Source organism: Homo sapiens, chromosome 3 (assembly GCF_000001405.40).
Source record: "Homo sapiens chromosome 3, GRCh38.p14 Primary Assembly".
NCBI classification, from domain to species: domain Eukaryota; kingdom Metazoa; phylum Chordata; class Mammalia; order Primates; family Hominidae; genus Homo; species Homo sapiens.
Window position 1 is genome coordinate 54,989,351 of NC_000003.12, and position 21,016 is coordinate 55,010,366.

The 21,016-nt window shown below is 43.2% G+C and overlaps 1 protein-coding gene across 1 annotated transcript in view; it reads left to right on the forward strand.

The window, feature by feature from the left end:
• Nucleotides 1–21,016, forward strand: part of CACNA2D3 (calcium voltage-gated channel auxiliary subunit alpha2delta 3) — a 952,006-nt gene that overhangs the window by 866,799 nt on the left and 64,191 nt on the right. The window contains exons 32-34 of the mRNA NM_018398.3: nucleotides 15,413–15,488; nucleotides 18,440–18,492; nucleotides 20,038–20,093. Of these exons, the coding sequence (NP_060868.2) occupies nucleotides 15,413–15,488; nucleotides 18,440–18,492; nucleotides 20,038–20,093 (185 nt within the window). The remainder of the gene's footprint in view (nucleotides 1–15,412; nucleotides 15,489–18,439; nucleotides 18,493–20,037; nucleotides 20,094–21,016) is intronic.

A 21,016-nucleotide genomic window follows, 5' to 3' on the forward strand; every position in this document is an offset into this window, starting at 1 on the left:
GCATGAATCTAGAACTTCCTTTTACTACAAGAGTAGCCAACATATTTGAGAAAAAGGAAGGGCTGGGAACTCAGTTATTACAGCAACTGCTGTCATCCAGGAGCAAGTTGACAAACCTCCTGGGCTTCTTTGACGGGCCTCCTCACTGGGGCCAGTAGAGCATTGAGAGTTTGATTTTTGGAGTCAGACAGACTGGGGTCAAATCTAGGCTCTGACATTACCAGCTGCTTGATTTAGTCAGATTACCTCTCCAAACACTGGTTTCTCTACATGGAAAATGAAGATGACAATAATTACTTCCAAGGGTTGCTGTCAGAGCTAGTGAGATCATAGTAAGCATAAAGTTCTTAGCACAGAACTTGGCATGTATGAAGAGCTCAATTAGTTGTGAGCTGCAGCCATGATTTTTGTTGTCGATCTTTGTTCTGTCTTGAATTTGCTTTCCACTTAGCACCAGGTATTGCTTCATCTACATTTACACGTCTCCCTACAGGCTTCCTATGACACCATATGATGGGTCTCTGGTGTTGGAGGACCACAGTCCTTGCAATCACACATTTGTGCCCTTGCCTTTCCCAGCATGCAGTGCTTGCTCAGAGCATAAGGTTGACACTCCTGTCATTCAGAGAAGATCTATAGTTCAGAAGCAGTGAAAGGATATAGTTGGCTGTAACTGACAGCACTCTGGATCAGAAGTCATGCACCATATTGAATTGAGCCCACCCTCAAACATGGGTTACATGAAGCTGCGTTGCTCTGGTGCTGTGGTTAGCCCAGGTGAAACTCGAGATCAGTTTACTGTGCTGACCCCTCATCTCAGCATCTTGGACAGCACCGGGCTGGCCCTCAGTTTCTTTATCTGATAGTCTTATACCCAGTCCTAAAGAAACAAATTTCAGACCGGGTGCAGTGGCTCACGCCTGTAATCCCAGCACTTTGGGAGGCAGAGATGGGTGGGTCACTTGAGGTCAGGAGTTCAAGACCAGCCTGGCCAACAAGGTGAAACGCTGTCTCTACTAAAGATACAAAAATTAGCTGGGCATGGTGGTGTGTGCCCATAATCCTAGCTAATTGGGAGGCTGAGGCAGGAGAATTGCTTGAACCTGGGAGGCGGAGATTGCGATAAGCCGAGGTCATGCTACGGCACTTCAGCCTGGGTGACAGAGCGAGACTCCATCTCAAACAAAAAAAAGAAAGAAAGAAAGAAACAAGTTTCATGCACAAGAACTCCACAAACCATCTTCTCCAGAAAGACAGAGCTCCAAGAGGAGAGCACTACCTCCCTTCATAGCCTCCCCTTTGTTTCTCTGTCTTGGTCATTTTGCTGCCTCTCTCCAGGGAAGCAAGGTGATGCTTGTCTGGGTGACAGCAGACCTCTCCCCTGACCATTCTGACCACTCACCTCGTGACCCATTGGCTGTTCTACCTGACAGTGCCATCAGAGGGAAAGAACATCCACTTCTGGGTCTGTAGTGCAGGCAGAAGGAAAACCACTGATTTATGTGAACAAATTAACAACTTGAAAGAATTTTGAGAAAGTCTCACAGCAGCGTGTGAAACAATCTAAGAGGCAAAATTGACCACTCTTGGGCACTTTAGTTGACTCTTTGACCTGACTCTAGCCAGCTTACATATGACCTAGTATCCAGGATCCAACTCACAGACCAATAGGTTCAGCAGCATGACAGTAATAATCATGGCTGCGTTCGCTGAGCACCCACCAGACTCCAGGCTTGGCTTGTCCTTGACAGATCTTACCTCTTTGCAGGCTTTCCAGTAACTCTGAGACAGGCATAAATAGGACCAGTTGCACAATTTGCAGGGCCCAGTGCAAAATAAAAATGTGGGGCCCTGTGTTCAAAAAGTGTCGAGTATTTTTTTTTTTTTTTTTGAGACAGAGTCTCGCTTGTTGCCCAGGCTGGAGTGCAGTGGTACAATCTCAGCTCACTGCAACCACCGCCTTCTGGGTTCAAGCGATTCTTCTGCCTCATCCTCCCGAGTAGCTGGGACTACAGGTGCACACCACCATGCCCAGCTAATTTTTGTATTTTTAGTAGAGACGGGGTTTCACCATGTTGGCTAGGCTGGTCTTGGACTCCTGACCTCAGGTGATCCCCCCAACTTGGCCTCCCAAAGTGCTAGGATTACAGGTGTGAGTCATCATGCCCGGCCTCTTGCAACTATGAAGAGAAAATCTAGTCTCAAAATCCTTTCATTAGAATTTGTTTACCCCTGGTAATGCAAATTCAATGTTGTCATGTATCTAGGGAAAAGGGAGAAAATACAGCCTGTCATAGGAGTCTTCTTCTTTCAAGGTTCCTGACGGGGCCTTTGTGATACTCTGGACTTGAAATAAGAAGACTTCAGGTTGAGCACAAGATTCTCCACTGTGTGGCCATGGACGGTGTCGTCAGCCTCTCTGAGCCTGTTTCTTCATTACCAAAATAGGGATCTCAATGGATTTTCTGAGAATTAACTAAAATACAATATGTTAAAATGCTTTTCAAATTGCAAAGCCATTGCAAACAGGAGATAAGAATACCTTTTGAGTAGAGTTCCATATGTCTGAGTTCTTCTTATTTTCCAATTTTCTCCTGTTTTGTTTTGTTTGTTTGTCTTATTTTATCACTAATAACCCCCAAAGGATAGTTACTACATAGCAGTTACCTTTACAGCACAGTGTTGGGGTGATTCATGGACCTGAACTCTCTTGTGCGTTAGCATCCCTGGGGACCTTTAAAAACACTCCAAGTTCAAGCTGCAGCCCAAGAAATCGTATATTAAGTTGATTTGGGGATGTTGCCCAGGCACTTGTGCTCTTTAAAAGCTTCTCTGTGATTCTCATGTGCAGCCAGCATCAAGACACGAGGTTAAAAGCATGGTAGCAGTCTAGCTACTACGCTCTTAGGAGTCACCTGATCTTTGCAGCAAAATAGGATGAAAATAATTATTCATATACCTACAAGTGAGGGATATATGGAATGATATGTGAGTAACTGAGGTGTCCCCAGCTTAAAGGTACATACATGCCTACAGCCCACCCTCCTGAGTGTGGGCACTCAGCTTCCTTCCTGGATGTCTCCCATTGTGACCACAGGGGAGATCCCTGCAGGACACAATCAGCTGGCACAAATGAATCATATCACAAAGTGAGAGCTCCTGGCGGTCCTCTCTGATCCACAACTTCTACCTTTCTCTGTTTCCTCTGTTCTTTCTCCTCTTTTTAGACTTCTAAGCAATGTCTGAATCCGTCTCTTCCTAGAGGGAAGAGCCCCCAGCCCATCTTTTTGAGGTCAGCTTCTTGGATTATCTTCTTGTCCCTGCATCCTCCCCTTAGGGTGTGATGGGAGGGGCCCCCACCTTCAGTGTCTTGATGGTGCTTGTGTTAGTCGGTTCTCACACTGCTATAAAGAAATACCTGAACAACAAGAAAAAAAAAAAAAAGAAAAAAGCAGTACCTGAGACTGGGTAATTTACAAAGAAAAGAGGTTTAATTGACTCACAGTTCCACAGGCTGTACAGGAAGCATGGCTGGGGAGGCCTCAGGAGACTTACAACCATCACGGATGGTGAAGGAGAAGCAGGCATGTCTTCACATGGCTGAAGCAGGAGGAAGAGGGAGGAGGAGATGTGCTAAACACCTTAAAACAACGAGATCTCGTGAGCACTCACTCACTATCACAAGAGCAGTACCAAGGGGGGAAATCTGCCCCCATGATGCAATCACTTCCATCTGCCCCCATGATCCAATCTCGGCCCCACCTCCAGCATTGGGGATTATAGTTCAACATGAAATTTGGGTGAGGACACAGATCCAAACCATATTAGCACTTTACTCTCCTAGAGGCCCCTGGGGGGCACTGGAACTACTGATGCTAGGGCAAAACACTAAGCACATAGACAGCAAGGATAACACTCTGGGTTAATCTCAGGTAGGGCACCTTGCTCCAGCAAAATATCTAGCAGATTGCTAGTAAGACATGAAAAAGCAAAGGCTCTTCCACCCTTTTCCAATTCCTCTCCTCCCTTCCCCTTGTAAGTAATGTAATACATCTTGCCTGAGTTCTGCGGAGCTGGGCACCAACCTGGACATGAAGTGCCATTTGTTACATGAGAAGCACAAATATGACTTTTAGGACATTTGAGCCAGGGAGACCGAAGGGAAAGTTGAAATGAGTTCAATATGGAGCCCAAGGAAAGAGCAAGAGCCTTCAAAAAACAGGTAAAGAAAGAAATCTTTACTGAAGGATGAAAATGTGGCTGTTATCAAATATCCAGAACTTGAGGGTTTGCCCTGGGTTTTTTGCTTTTACCAACATACTTGTGATTTCTGGAAAGACCAAAGGCTCTTCCCTTGTTCTTTGTCTATCTGATTATGCTGGAGGCCAGAAAGACCAATGGAGCACACCTGGCCCTTGGCTTGCCAGGAAATGGACTGCTCTCGTCGAGCCACCAGTAGTACCTATCTTTCATGGCCATTGTCTTATCTGTCTCTCTCTCTCTCTTTTTTTTTTTTTTTTTGGTTGCAACTGCTAGTGTGTGTGTGTGTGTGTGTGTGTGTGTGTGTGTGTTTTGTGTGTGTGTGTGGTTTTGCGTGGTTTTTGTTGTTTGTATTTCTGCTGTGCTTGGTGCAACACGCTTGAGCTTTTACCTGTCCAAGGCCATTCATATTTTCCCTATGGGATCTGGCAAATGTCCTTGTCGCTGCACCCCACAAGTGTTCATTAACATGGCTGGCTTGTGTGGAATTCCCTGTGGCAGCTTCTGCTATTTAAATCACCTTTCTAAAAGGTGACACATCCAGGTAGAATCCAAGATCTGTATCATTTCTACTCCTGTCTCTGTGTGGTGGGACTTGGGAGCTTTCCCTGTCTTTGGTAATCACATTACACTTCAGCGAGTGCCCTGGCCTTGGAGTGTAGAGAGTGTTAAAGGAGAATTCTGTTATGTTTGGATGGCTGCTCGCCTTTAATGCCGACTGCCCCGCTGATGTCTAATACTCAACAACTCATGTAATGAGTGTAATGGCTTCGTGGCTTCCTGCTGACCTGACCATGTCCTCAGAATTATGCTTTGTCAGAGGTGGCATTGAAGGGAACAAGGAGACAGATTGGTTTGGACAAGTATATTTCTGGGCCAAACTTTCTGGAAGGCAGAGACATGGAGCTTCCAATGAACCACTCTTTAAAATCCAAAAGCTGCTGCTTGAGCATCCCCAGTTACAGCAATAACAGTAACTGCCCTCATCTTCATCATCATGCAGTCTGTCTCACTTATTAAATACTAACTATAGGCAAGGCATTATTCCAGGCAGTTAACATGCATTACCTTAATTAATTCCCATCACAATTCCATGAAGTAACTACTATTATTATTTCCATTTGACAAACAAGGGACTAGAAGTGGAGGCTCCCAGCAACTTGTCAAGCTCTCTCACAGGCATGAGTGAGAAGACAGAATTTGAACTCATGTCTCTCAGATTCCAGAGCATGTTCTCCTGATAACCATTCATGTCTTCTCCATAGTTGGAGCAGACTAGCATATCTTCTGCAGAGTTTTTCTTTTTACATTCATATTTGCTCTGCCTTAAGAGATAGAGAAAGAAAGTCTTTCTTTTTATTTATTTATTTATTTTTTCTTGAGATGGAGTTTCGCTCTTGTCACCCAGGCTGGAGTGCAATGGTGCAATCTTGGCTTACTGCAACCTCTGCCTCCCGGATTCAAGCGATTTTCCTGCCTCTACCTCCTGAGTAGCTGGGATTACAGGCGCCCGCCACCATGCCCAGTTAATTTCTGTATTTTTAGTAGAGACAGGGTTTCGCCATGTTGGTCAGGCTGGTCTTGAACTCCTGACCTCAGGTGATCCAACTGCCTCAGCCTCCCAAAGTGCTGGGATTACAGGTGTGAGCCACTGCACCTGGCCAAAGAAAGTTTTTTAATCAAACTTAGAGTCCAATGTATTAGTTAGAATTGGTCCAGCCACAAATAACAGGAAAATCCAAATTAACAGGGACGACTTAAAGAACATAAGAGGTCTTTTTTCATCTCTTATGGTAAGGAAGTCTAAAAATACTAATTTGGGACCCTCACGTTACAGACCCAGGACCACAACTTTTTCTTCTACCTTTCTCCAAGATGGCTTTTAAGTTCAAGGTTACCTCATGATTCAATGTAGCTGCTGAGCCCCAGCCATCATATCTGCAATTCAGGCTTGCAAAAGAAGAGTTCAGGGAGTTCCAAAAGCTCCAAAAGGCCAAGTTTCAAATTACTTTTTAATAAATGCTTTAAATAAGATTTTTAATGTATTAAGCAGCCTCCCATACAATACTTGTGCTTAATCACTTGGCCTTACCTCACTACAAAGGAACCTGGGAAATGTGCATATTAAAAAGTCAGAGTTCTGCTCACCAGAAGAGGAGAATAGTTATTGTGAAACTACTGATAGTTTCTACCACATCCAGCATGCCCCAGTTTGCTTCAAACTATATGAGTCCTCTGGCTTCCTCTGATAACCCCTTTGGAACTCCTTGAGTGATGGGGCTGTATTCATAACTCTTCTCCTAGTCTTCCCTCCCCACAGCATGCCCAATGCGGTCCTGAACACAGATTGTCATAGCCACCTTCTAACCACCTGTCCGTGTGCCTGCCTGACCCCAGACAATGGAAGTAGGAACATTCAATAACACCTGTTGGGTTTTATGAATAATAATCATAACAGCAGCAATACCAACACTCAGAGGTACTAACATTTATTAAGCCTCAATGACATGCCCCACACTGCCAAGTGCAGTACAGGCATCATTGTGGTGCAGTTGCTATGAAATATGGACCTGGCTTCACGAATGTGGCAGAGCCCAAGGACGCTTCCCCAGAATCAGCTCTCCTGCTTCAAATGGGTTTTGCATTAACTCATTCCCAAAGCAGAATTCAGCTTTTTCCTTCTAAGGAGACAAAAGAAATTTAATATTTTCTATATTGAATTAATTGTGATTCCATTTTCCCCTTCAGTTTCATAAGTGAAGCTAATTTCCATGGGAGGGGCTGCGTGAATGGGCAAACCAGCTGGCAGCTAGGTGCATTTACTGGGCACCCATGAATTTGATCACTTGCCCCAGGAGCAAAGCAAATGCGGTTGGTAGAGCAACATCCGCTCTGAGTGGGGACAGGGACTGTCTTGATGCTTGAAGTTTGTTGGTCTCCCCAGGGCCACCTTCTTTCAGAGGACCCTCTCTTCTTGGCTCTGGGGCACTCACACTTGTTTATCAAATCAGTGCTGCTCTCCAGGACAATGGGAAACTGTTTATCCTTGAGGTTTGCAGGTGGCACCTCCTATTTGGTGAGTCAAGGAAGTACCCCTGAATGTGTCCAGACTGGTACTAAGCCCTGGGAGGATGCGTCTGGGTTTTAAAGTGGAACCAACCCAAATGCCCATCAATGATAGACTAGATAAAGAAAATGTGGCACATATACACCATGGAATACTATGCAGCCATATAAAAGGATCAGTTCGTGTCCTTTGCAGGGACATGGATGAAGCTGGAAACCATCATTCTCAGCAAACTAACACAAGAACAGAAAACCAAACACCACGTGTTCTCACTCATAATTGGGAGTTGAACAATGAGAACACATGGACACAGGGAGGGGAACATCACACACCGGGGCCTGTCAGGGGGTGGAGGACTAGGGGAGGGATAGCATTAGGAGAAATACCTAATGTAGATGATGGGTTGATGGGTGTAGCAAACCACCATGGCACATGTATACCTAGGTAACAAACCTGCACATTCTGCACATGTATCCCAGAACTTAAAGTATAACAAAACAAAAAATAAAATAAATAAAGTCCAGTTCCTGCCTGCAAGCTACTTACAGTTAAGGTGAGAGGGGAAGAAACAACACAAGAAAATGCAAGTGAGGTATATCACATTCTAAAATTCATGGCTGTCAAACCTGTTTGCACATTAGAATTCCTTAGGGAGCTTAAAAAATAGCCCCACCCCAGACTAATGAAATATTGCAGATAGGAGGTGAGATGCTAGGTATCATCATGTATATAAAATTACTTTGGCCCGGCTCAGTGACTGATGCCTGTAATCCCAGCACTTTGGGAGGCCTAGGTGGGGGAAGTGCTTGAGCTCAGGAGTTCGAGACCAGCTTGGGCAACCACATCCAGCACGTGAAACCTCATCTCTACCCACCCCCACCCAAAAAAAAAGAAAAAAATTAACTAGATATGGTGACATGCACCTGTAGTCCTAGCTATCCAGGAGGCTGAGGCAGGAGGATCGCTTGAACTGAGGAGTTGAAGGCTACAGTGAGCTATGTGCCACTGCACTGAAGCCTGGGTGACAGAACAATACCCCATCTCAAAAGAGAAAAGAAAAGGAAAGAAAATTTATTTGAAGTTCCCCAGGTGATTCCAAAGGGCAGCCAACGTTGAGAATCACTGTTTTAAACAAATGCCAATGTGTATGCCTTAGGAATTGAGAGTGAGTTTACATCCAATTTTCCAGATTCTTCGATGAGGCCTCATCAGAGGCCCATGAGATCCCTAAGGAGCAAGATATCCCTTGGGAATTCATGTTTGGGAAGCAGTTTAAGTGTGCAGCTTTAAACTATGAGACCTGGACTAATAATCCAGCCCCTTTGATTACTAGCGTGCTGATAATCTTGGACCTGTGACTTCATCTGTCTGAGACTTAGTTTCCCCTTATATAAAATATGACCATCAGAGATAATGTCAACACTGCTGACAGAAAGTAATCAATTAATTCTTTTTTTTTTTTTTTTTTTGAGATGGAGTCTTGCTCTATTGCCCATGCCCAGGCTGGAGTGCGGTGGCACAAATCTCAGTTCACTGCCACCTCCGCCTCCTGGGTTCAAGCAATTCTCATGTCTTAGCCTGCCGAGTAGCTGGGACTACAGGTGCGTGCCACCACGCCAGGCTAATTTGTATTTTTAATAGAGATGGGGTTTTGCCATGTTGGCCAGGCTAGTCTTGAACTCCTGACCTCAAGTGATCGGCCCACCTTGGCTTCTCAAAGTTGTGGGATTACAGGCGTGAGCCACCACACCTGGCCTTTAATCAATTAATTCTTATGGTTACTGTTCTTCTTACCTGGGTAAGATGCTGATGGGATTAATATCTCAGTATCTACAATTTTGTTTCTCTTTATATTATCAGCACCTGTTGATGAAAGGTGTTGATTTGGTGCCAACAGACCCTCTGCTTAATCCACCAAATGAGTGACGCTTTCTTGTTGCTCCCCATTCAGTGTTCAGCAGTGAACCCTGGGAGGTCCTGATAGCCTGTGTGGTTTATTCTTGGCTAATGATGGGTGCTCATTAGCTAAAGTTGGTTTTTGTTTTGTTTTGTTTTGTTTTGTTTTGTTTTGTTTTGTTTTGTTTTTTGAGATGGAGTCTTGCTCTGTCGCCCAGGCTGGAGTGCAGTGGCGTGGTCTCAGCTCACTGAAAGCTCCGTCTCCAGGGTTCACGCCATTCTCCTGCCTAAGCCTCCCGAGTAGCTGGGACTACAGGCACCTGCTACCATGCCCGGCTAATTTTTTATATTTTTAGTAGAGACGGGGTTTCACTATTTTAGCCAGGATGGTCTCGATCTCCTGACCTCATGATCCGCCCGCCTTGGCCTCCCAAAGTGCTGGGATTACAGGCGTGAGCCACCGCGCCCGGCCAGCTAAAGTTGTTTAACTAATTTCCAGTTGGAGGGCTCAAAGGCAGTAGGACCAGGGTTTTGTAAATTCACTGCCTCTGCTGTGTTAGAGACACTGCACCAATCTTAAAGAACAGTGCCATCTCTGCAAGAAGTTGCTGTGGGATGAGATGATGACTGATACGAGCAGGAGAGAAGGGAGAGCACATTTTGAATCTTCTATTAGCACTCCTATCAACAGGTTGAGCCTTCTACTTTCCTGGCTTTCTGAGATGTAAGAATGAGTAAGGGCTTCCCATGGCGACGGTCTCTTTGTTAAGAATTTCCTATGTTCCTCCCCCATGCCTTTTCAATTGCAAGTTGAAAGCTGCCCCCAGAGGACACATTTTATAGCGCAACAAAGAAGACATATTTTTACATGCTACCTTAGTGAGTCATTTTGCTTCTCAGACTTTTCAATTCGGAATTGCTTAATTATGTCCCATGATAGGTCTCTATGTCTAATGCCTCCCTTGTCCTGTTTTTAGGGCTGTATTTGCAGACATTAAGCTGTTTCAAGATTGTTTTTAGGCCAGTTGTTTAGCCAAAGTGAGCTAATTTGATGAATCATTACAGGAAAATTACCTGGCCTCACGGTACATAGTAGGTGTTTAATAAATGTTGAGCCCCACAGTTGCTAACCACCCCTAAATTAGCCAGCCTAAATTAGCTGAGCTTATGCTGTTAAAATGCAGCCTGCTAATTCTTAGAGCAAATATTTTTCTTGGTCAGGATTTTTGTCTAGTTGGAAAAGAAAGAACAGTATCAGCAAAATGGCTTTAAACATGTCTTAATGTCATGAGTTTGTCATCCAAGGCTCTACCCAGCATGGGTGCAGGGCTACCAGGCTTTGTTTGTATTGCTTTGAGTTGTTTCTTCAGAGGCCGTATCTGCCTTCTGTCAAAGTTTAAAGTTTCAAAGTTCCACCATCCATGTGGGCACACAGCGATGCTAATGATAAGGTTGGTTGGAGTAGCCTGGTGGTGATGTCATGGGGATTAAGGCATGTTATCTGTAATAAGAATACACCCCCACTGCTGAGTGCAGCTGCACACAGCACCAGTCTTGGGCTGGGCATGATTCTCAGAGCTGATTTTAGAGTCAAATGAAAGCAGGCAATTATCATGTTCTTTAACTGTAATCAGCCGAACAGGATACAGGTAGCCGCAAAATGGAGTTATTTAAAACAGTAACAAAGTCACTTCAAAAAGGGTAATAATCTGGAAGTCTCCTGCTGCAATATCTAGTTAAAGCTGTCCAAGTGTGGAGAAGACAGGGAAGGCTTATTTTGTAACCTCGTCAATGGCAATAGTATCAGGAAAGCCTCCTTTTGAAATAGAGGAGTGGGGAACAAGGGGAGGGAGAGTGTTAGGACAAATATCTAATTCACATGGGGCTTAAAACCTAGATGATGGGTTGATAGGTACAGGAAACCACCATGGCACATGTATTCCTATGGAACAAACCTGCTTGTTCTGCGCATGTATACTATAACTTAAAGTAATATTTAAAAATAAATAAATAAATAAAAGGAACCTTGGCCTGGGGGCTGCCCCAGAGCAATTTAGTTTAGCCCCAACATGTAAACTAGAGCCTTTGAAAATGATCCAAGGAGAATCCTGAGTTTCCTGCCATCTGTCAGAGTGGTTACCATGGTAAGAAGTATTCACAAGTGCAGCCAGCTGTTCCAGTCTGGCCTGGTGACTCATCAGCCCTTCAGCTTGGGTTGAAAGTTGATTCTGGACATTGGTTATCTTGGGCAGCATTTTTTGTGACATTCCAATAAGACCCTGGGCTGGGGAACAGGTCTGAAGCCTAAGCATTTCTTAGAATCTGTCAGAGCCTGCTTCTGAGCAGAGAGCAAAAGGTGGTGGATTCAGCTTGGCCCCCTACTAAATCTGGCTCTATCACCAATGATCTATGTGAACTTGGGCATATTTATTTAGGCTGGCTAAGACTTGGTTTTCCCCTCTGTAAAATGGAGATGATTATAATCTATCTTATAGGGATGTGTTTAGAGGAGTACCTCGCTTATGGTTGCTAAACAGAGTTCAGTACACATCAGCTGTTGTTATCATTGCCTTCCGCTAAGAAGCCCATGGACAGAAGTTCCTGCATCATCGCTTGGTAACACCAGCACAGCTTCTGATGGTGTCCTTGTATTGCAGTAGCAAGCATGGATTTTCCTCTGCATTGTCTATGCCAATGAGCTAAGAAAACCGGGAGCCTTGTTCATCTTTCAGCCAGCTGGGTAATGCCTGTGTCAATTCCCATTCCTTTAAACACCAGCCCATTAATTGGTAGTGGCAATGAAAAGATACCAATACTTATAACAGCAGCTATAGCTCTGCCTCCTGTTGGAATACTTCCTCTCTAGCAGGCACTGTGCTGAATGCAACACATAGATAACCTTCTTTAACCCTATGACCACCCTATAAGGTAGTCATTATTCTCACCATTTCACAGATAGGAAACTGAGGCACCAAGAGGGTTAAAAAGACATTGTTGTAAGTGGATGAGTTAGGATTTGAGCTCAGGTATTACTGACTTCAAAGATGGCATTTTCACTATGTCACATTGCCTTCTCTTGAGCCTTTGGGAACAGTGCAGCTTTAAGAGCCCGAACTCTAACAAAGAATAAAATCAGTCTTCTGTTGTAAGGATCTTAACAACGTTGGCACACTTAGAGCATATTTCAGTGTACTTCTACACAGCTGGTTATTTAGATCTCAGAACATCTCTGTAATTGTTTAATAAGTCAGGAAACGAAGCCTTTGAAGAGTACCAGCAAGCTGCTCAAGAATGCACCCTGGAGGCCGAGCGCGGTGGCTCACGCCCATAATCCCAGCATTTTGGGAGGCTGAGGCAGGTGGATCACAAGGTCAGGAGTTCGAGACCAGCCTGGCCAACATAGTGAAACCCCATCTCTACTAAAAATACAAAATTAGTTGGGTGTAGTGGCATGTGCCTGTAGTCCCAACTACTCGGGAGGCTGAAGTGGGAGAATCGCTTGAACCTGGGAGGCAGAGGTTGCAGTGAGCCAAGACCATGCCATTGCACTCCAGCTTGGGTGACAGAGAGTGAGACTCCATATCAAAAAAAAAAAAAAAAAGAATGTACCCTGTATATACGACAGGACCAACTTTTGAAACCATGGCCATCCTGCATCCATGGCTATGAGACTCCAAGCACATGCACATTCCTCTCAACCCCATGCTGCCTCTCACCTGGCTCTGGCACATGTTTTAGGTGTAGAGACAGCATTGGGCAGTGGGAAAAGGATAAGTCAATACCAATTCTTGCCAAATGCTAGAAAGCCCTTGCAGGGGTACCTGTAGAAATCTCCTGAGTGAGGATGGAGATGGTGGCCTGGCGGGCCAGTCAGGGACCAATTAGAGTTGTCCATTGTGGTCTGCAGTTGATTCTGTGACATATCCCGGTGTCTGGGTTAGTGCTAGGGCTGTGTCAATGGTGAGAGCGTTTCTGTGAGAAGTTTGTGCGGGGACATCCCCAAGCCTAATGCTTGGCTGATTTATGGTCTTCGTTTCTGTTTGTGTAAACAAAGCTTCAAAGCTTCTTGCCTGCATCTGTGTAAGGAAAAAAGCCAGAGGACAGTGAAGAAATATTCTGATGAAGAAAAGACCTTGAGGACTGGCTACGTGACCACTGGTATCCCCTTGGGCTTTGCTGCCCAAGGAGTGCTGTGTGATGCTGCTGGTTAGGAGCTGGCTTTGATCTTCCATTTGGTCAAATGTGGCTGGTTTTCTGCTTGGTACCCACAGACGACTGTGTTTAATCCATTTATCGGTAATGTCCGTAAGTTACTGTCCAGATAAGGAGCCTCCACATCACATTTTGCAGTTGACCACTTTGTTCTCATCATCTGTGTAACATTTGTGCAATCAGGCAATCATTTATGCATTCACCCTTTTAAAACTGAATGCCTTCTGTATGCTGGGTGCTGTACTAGGTGCTAGAGGTCGGTGTGAAACAGAGCCAACACCAGTCCTGCTGCATGAAGCTTTTACATCTACAGGTCTTTCCGAGCACAGCAGTAAGTGCACTCAACATTAACCATTGTAGTATTCTAGAAAGGAATTCCTGTGGAGAGAATTTCATCCAGTCATGTAGAAGCACATGTATTAAAGTGTTTAAAATCTCATCTGGCAGTTGTTATGTAACTCAGGCTCGACTTTACATGTCTCTCCTTTGGGCTGCTACTCATGGCAGGAGGGGATGCCGAAGGGAAGGGTGGGAATGCCAGACTCCTTTGGCTATACCTTTCAAGCATGGGATAAGATGTTCATACCATCTAAATACTGGAACATGTGTAGGGGCAAAGAGGGAGAGCTTGCCCCATCATCCCCTGAAGGTTTGCTGAAAATGAACTGACAAAGGGCAGGTGAATAGGAAAAAAAGGCACACAAAATTTATTTTAATATGGACAACACAGGGGAATCATAGTAGAATGGTTACCCAGTAACCCAATGGGGTACAGATGCTTAAATGCCCGTCTTCGTAGGGGAGGGAAAAGGGGGAAATATGGCTACTTGAGGGATAATAAATGATTTTGAGGGGGAAACGAGTGGGCCTAAATGGTTAGTAAATAATTTCAATGGAAATTGAATGGGATGGAGAGCTGACAATGATTTGGGAAGAAGTTGGCCTGGGCTCTAGGTGTGGTGTTTAATTTTCAATCTCTTCCTCTGTAATATGAATTGTAATCTTCTCTTCTCTGGTGAATGAAATGTCAGGAAAGGCAATTGTATTCCTCTTTGGCAGATCTGGCTTTTAGATAGATAAGGGAACTTCAGAAAACAACTGCATCCTGTGGTTTGGGACTGTGTGGTAAGGGAGACAGGGAGCAAGGTCGGAGAAACTTTGAGACTGCTTCAAGTCAAAGCACCATATTTTGGCGTAATGGTTTCTGAGTCCGAACACATGCTACCAGAAATTGCCATTCACCTTTCCTTTGTTGATGGGGGAATTAAAATACATTGAATAATGTTAAAGTAAAACATTTTTGCAACAGAGTAAAGGTCATAATTGGGATGAAAGCCATACTTTTATCGCCAGTGTAGGAAAAAAATGTCCACCTTGTTTTTGTTTCATAAGCTATGCTGTTTTCAAAATAAGGTACATTCACTCTTATGGTGATGACAATAAGGAGTAGGGATTACAATTAGTAAGCCAGCTGGTTTCCTACACTTTGTCAATGTACAGGGCTTATCCTGGTCCAAACCTGTTTCCTGGTGCTTAAGAAACACAGAATCCTGCCATGCTTTATCCCAAAGTGGTTCTTCTTAGTTCTCCTGTCCCTTGGAGACATGGCCCAAGTAAATTCCATCCGGGTCTTAGAATCCAGTTCAGAACAGCACATTCCCTTTGGAATATCTTGCTCAATGCAGACCATCCTTGTTCAGACCAAATGACTGTTTCGTCAAGTTAGATGGGTCCTCATCCCCCTCTACCCTTTCCAATACCTTCGTTCCCTTTGTCCTTCAAATTCCAAGTGGTAACATGACTGTGCCTCCAGCACTGGCCTTTGCCAGGCTCCTTGTTCATCATCCATGTTAGGGCTGCATGGTGTTTGTCACCGTTGCACTTGATGATAGTGACTGCTCACCTTGTAGTACATAGCATCAATTGGTTCCCGTGTTTTCTCATTTAGTGAAGCTCCCTTCCATTTCTTTCCTGTAGAATTACCCTTTATGACTACCAAGCCATGTGTAGAGCCAACAAGGAAAGCAGCGATGGCGCCCATGGCCTCCTGGATGTAAGTACTATGCTGTCACTCAGAAAACAGCCACACATTTCTGTCTTTCTCCCTGTCTGAGTGTTATCTTCCTCTTTGGAGTAATCAAGTTTATCTTTTTGCAAAATCATGAACATTTTGACTTTACTCACTTAAAAAAAAAAAAAAACACTTCAGGCCGGGCGCGGCAGCTCATGCCCGTAATCCCAGCACTTTGGGAGGCCGAGGTGGCTGGATCACTTGGGGTCAGGAGTTTGAGACCAGCCTGGCCAACATGGTGAAACCCTGTCTCTACTAAAAATACAAAAATTAGCCAGGCGTGGTGGCGTGTGCCTATAATCCCAGCTACTCGGGAGGCTGAGGCGGGAGAACCGCTTGAACCTTGGAGGAGGAGGTTGCAGTGAGCCAAGATCATGCCACTGCACTCCAGCCTGGGCAACAGAGCGAGCCTGCCTCTCAAAAAAATTAAATTAAATTAAATTAAATTAAAATTAAAAAAAGCCACTGCTATATCAACTGAAATCCAGTAATTATATGAATGAGAAATGGATCTAAAGTCTTTGATGGATTAATGCAGCAGCCCCTTGTGACAGATGGAAAAAGGGAGAAGTTTTGTTAATTCTCTCATTTGTATATAAAAGAACTTGGTTTTGTTCAACAGAACTTTTCCTTTTAGTTTGTAACAGAGTTGTGAGCTTTTGCCCTAATTCCCATTTTGATCACAGGTATTCCCTCTCCCCTAATCATGCCACTGGGTTTCAGCATCGTTTTCCCTGGAGCTGATTCCTTGGTGATGTCACAGACGAGGATCAATCAGCATAGCTATTGTACCATTAGAAACTGGCTTTCAGATGGCCAGAAATTAACTGTTACCACTTACTCCCAAATTAAAAATATAATTTACAATGCGTAGACAATGTAAATTTGGCCAGCAATACCTAAAAACACAGAAAAAAAACCAGACATAGTGTACCTCTGGATAGTCTGTCACATGTGTTTAAATATAACCCTTACAATGTTATTATTTTGTAAATACCAAAAATTAACCTAAAATTTTGTTTGAAACACAACACTTAAAAGCCATTTTGGCTTTAAAATGTGCATACTTTCTAATTTGCAGATGTAAGATGTTACAAGGGGATTATTTAAAAAACAGATAATTAACACGGTTCTCCTACACTGAGGGAGCAAGAAATGATTCAGAGCTGGCAAATTTGTAAGAGGCAACTAAAATGAATATTTTGAAAAATACAGCTTTTTAGTGAGACTCACTATGTCTTTCTAACCCAACTCCCCTAACCTTAGCATGAATATTTCCAGACATTAAAGGTTCCCAAGATATATTTTCACCATTAGATTTAAAAGCTCAGTGGCTTTACGCTTTTAGATGATAATGTGCATTTAAATTTTTTTAATCCTGTATTTGCATAATCCCTTTGTTTACTCATATATTGAGCCAATGCCTGGCATGGAATGCCTGAGTGCCTTCCCCTGGCCTCAGAGCGAGCTGCCCCTGCTTCTGGCCCTCTTTCCCCCGCAACCTCCAAAGCTTCCTTAATCCTTTTATTCACTCTCTCCTTCCCCTGACCCACATTACCCACCCAGCAGATACAAAGACACAACATCGTCCCATAGTCTGACCAGCCCGGTCTTTTTGAAAGCAAGATGATTATTTTTCAAGCCGTAAAATGTAATGGCAAAACCGCAGGACTGCAAAGTGTGGTTTCAGGAAACTGTTAAAAGTTCACATCCTTATCTGACCCTAATCCTGGCGGCCCAGAACACTGTGATTCAAGGAATGATGTGGAAGCACTCGGTTGAACCAGAGCAAGAGATACACCAAGTCTGAAATCTGGGTGGGCTGGGAAGAGCCTCAGCATTGTTGTTGTTGTTGTTGTTGTTCTGCTCATTTACTTTCTGGCCGGACTGGGAAAGTTTTGAGAATGATTGGGGGCATGTAAATTTGTTCTTGTTTCATTTAAAACTGGATAATTCCTCCATTCTCAGTTCTAGTTCTTATAATTAAAATGCTCAGAAGGTGGGATTAAGCAGCTCTAGCTGCAGAAGCAAGGATTTGGCATGCATTTCAATTCTCCGATATCTAAAGGCAACCACAAAAGGTTCTGAGATTCTTCTGGACCTGACATCTGGAGCCCAGAGCCCGGGATTTGCCAGCGTCATTGTCTGTCTCTCAAGTTCACCCACCACTCACATAACTGGCATAGCTAGGTACAAAGAACCAACTGAGGGGGAGACTTGGTATTTTCCAGAATTCAGGAAATTGAATTATCCACATAGGAAATATCACAGAGTAAACAATCCAACTGCTTTTTTTAATTAAAATATTCTGAAATAAAGATTAGGCTTTCAATGCCTTCTTTTATAGAGTGAAGGAGATTTTCAGCAAGGATAAAATCACATGTTTATATGGTTATCATTTTCTTCAAGTCCAAATATGTAAGTGTGAGAAAAGACAGCTTAAATCCTACATAATTCGTGGACGGCATTAAAATCAGGTGTATGCAATTTTTGCTTATTTTAGTGAATGACATACAGTGATGGAGAACAGGGAATCACCTTTCCAAGAGGCTGCCCTGTAAATTACCATTTGAAATTAGTTATATGATTCCAGCCCCCTCAGCATTAAGCTTCAAAATATTAGCCCCTAGAGGGTAAAGGTTTAAGCATCGGGTGCTGAACTTCCTTTTTCCTCCCACTGATAACCCTTGTATTAGATCAGGTTTATTTTACTTGTAAATCACATCTCACTAGAGTGGAGTTCAAAGTTTTAAAATGTTTGTTTTAGGATACAGTATCCAACAATTTTCTTCACTTAGCTAGAACGCCACTGTTTTTTAACATGATATCAATCTCTCTAGAAGAATAACATTGTCCTTATGTAAAGCCCTAAATTAAGCTACAAATTTTGTGTGCACTACATTGTTTTTAATGAACTGAATTCTTCTCTTCAGCCTTATAATGCCTTCCTCTCTGCAGTAAAATGGATCATGACAGAACTTGTCTTGTAAGTAAAATCTGCTGCATTTTTTTGAAAAGTATTAATATTTTCCTTTTTGTATCATAAAGTGATCTAAGAGATTGTGAGTCATGCCTTCAATAACCATTAGATTCCTAGTACTCTGAGATAACTTCATTGAACATCTCAAAATATTGAACACAGAGACCAAAAAATGATCTTCTATTAAGTGACTGTTGATCACTCCTTATGCTATTAGGTCATCGTTTAGCAGATCATTTGCAATACACAACAAATTTACTTATTGTGGTTACTGCTCAATTTCACATGGATGTCTGGCTGATTTTACTGCAGCCTGGGTGGGCTGTGGTCAGAAGAGCACACTGCTGTGACTGTCCACCATGCCACTTTGGCTGTCTTGGCCTGTGCAGGAATGGGTGCCTGTGAGATTGTCAGCTAGGGCTGGGGGCTTTCTCAGGTATGATTTCATTGTTTATTCTGTCAAACTATGGTCTTGTTTGGAGGTGCTGGTTGCATCTATGACTTAGATAACACTTGAAATGGCACAAAGATGAAAGTCTTGACTTTCAGACTAGATATTAGACACATTACAGAAACACCGTGTCACACAAAAGGGAAGAATTACATAGATGAACATGTAAACAAGATTGTTTAAGTTGTACCAAACTCTCTCATTCTTATTTCCCCTGCTTATTTCCTACAGACTCCAGTTCTGTGGGTTTGAGGCAAATTTCATGCCATTTGATGGATAGTCACTGTCCTCTTAACTTAATGTAACCTATATTAATTTAATAAAGTTTGTGAATTCAAATGGGAAGTAAATTCTCCATATACACATGAGGCAGAGAAAGAACATTAACAGATAATAGTGGGATTTTGATTGAGAGAGAGCTGCTAGGAATAGTAGCCATAAGCCTGAAAAACAAATGACCAAATTTTGATCTCTCTTCATCCACTGGAGGATAATTTATATTATTTTTGTAGTCTTTACCAGCCATTGAGAAATGTTGATTTTTATGAAGTTCCATTGTGACATAATTTCATAGAGAGAAGTCTGTTCCACCTCCCTCTATACACACACACACACACACACACACACACACACACACAGGGGGCTTAAACAAGTTCAAGTCGCAGTATTCATTTTGAAAGCATGTTTTATTACTACAGTTCATAGTCTTGGTAGAGGAGAATATTCTATTTGTATTTCTGAACTAAGGGAAGAGAAGCTTATTAGAAATTGGCTTTTTACTGTGGAATCAAACTAGATGATATTAAGATTGAACAACTGGTGAACAACAACGAGAAAAGTATTTCAGCCTATACAGCAGGTTATTCCTCATCTAGGAATCTTTGAGTCTAGGTGAACCTGGCTTTAGGGATAAAATAGCCTTTCACAAGAAAGATAAACCCCTGTGAAAATTTAGTAGTAACTCAGCCAACTGTGTTGATATCTCCAAATTGTGATGTTCTCAAATGAGGTAAGCGATGCCAAAGAATACAGAAAGTCACTGTTCTGTGATATGGGCATGGATGACGAAGTAACATTGGGCTTTTCCACGATCTGTTTAGGTTCCTGGTGGAATTTAACCTCTGCAGTTGGTGGCACTCCGATATGACAGCTAAAGGTGAGCAGCAACTGGTTTCTGTTTCCCAGCTTGGAGGGATAAGCGCTGGGTTCACTGGCTACTTTTCATCAGGGATGTGCTGGCTCACAGAAAATTCCCCAGGACAAAGTGATGATTTTTCAGCTCTGTCAGCAAAAAGCCAGCCTTTGTGCTAAGTGCTGTGCTATCTAGTCTGACACAGAATTCCACAGGCTTCATTCAGCCCACGTTGAATGTACATCTTGACCTGTTTCCTTAACTAAGGCTTTGAGGTCATACATTGCACAGGTAAATTCTTCAGAAAGCTCATGGGCAATGCTGAAATAGAAGGGAGACAGACACACTGCCTGTGTCTCAGGCTAAATGAATGATTAGCCATTCTATTTCTGTTTTCACAGTTACCCTCATAGAACATAAATCTGACCACATTACTATCCCTTCTCAAATACCTTTGATGATTTGAGGAGGGTGTAATTAGTAGAGACTCTTGGAGGCATGGGTTGTGGAGTTAGAATAGGTTTCAGTCCCAGCTTAGAGGTTGGCCTTGGGCATATCAGCTGATCTGTCTCCAAGGCTCAGTTTCCCTATGCTAAGCACAATGGGGAAAAATAATATTTATCTTAGCAAGTGAATGTGTGTGTGTGCATGTATGTTTAATGCTGTGAGAAATCATATTACGTGCTGACCACAGTGACTGGAACATAAGTCCTCAAAAAATAGTAGCAATACTGCATGTTCTCATGTATAAGTAAGGTAAACACTGAGTACACATGGACACAAAGAAGGGAACAGCAGACACTGGGGCCTACTTGAGGTGGAGGGTGGGAGGAGGGTGAGGATGAAAAAACTACCTATCGGGTACTACGTTCACTACCAGGATGATGAAATAATCTGTACACCAAACCCTCGAGACATGCAGTTGACCCGTATAAAAAACCTGCATG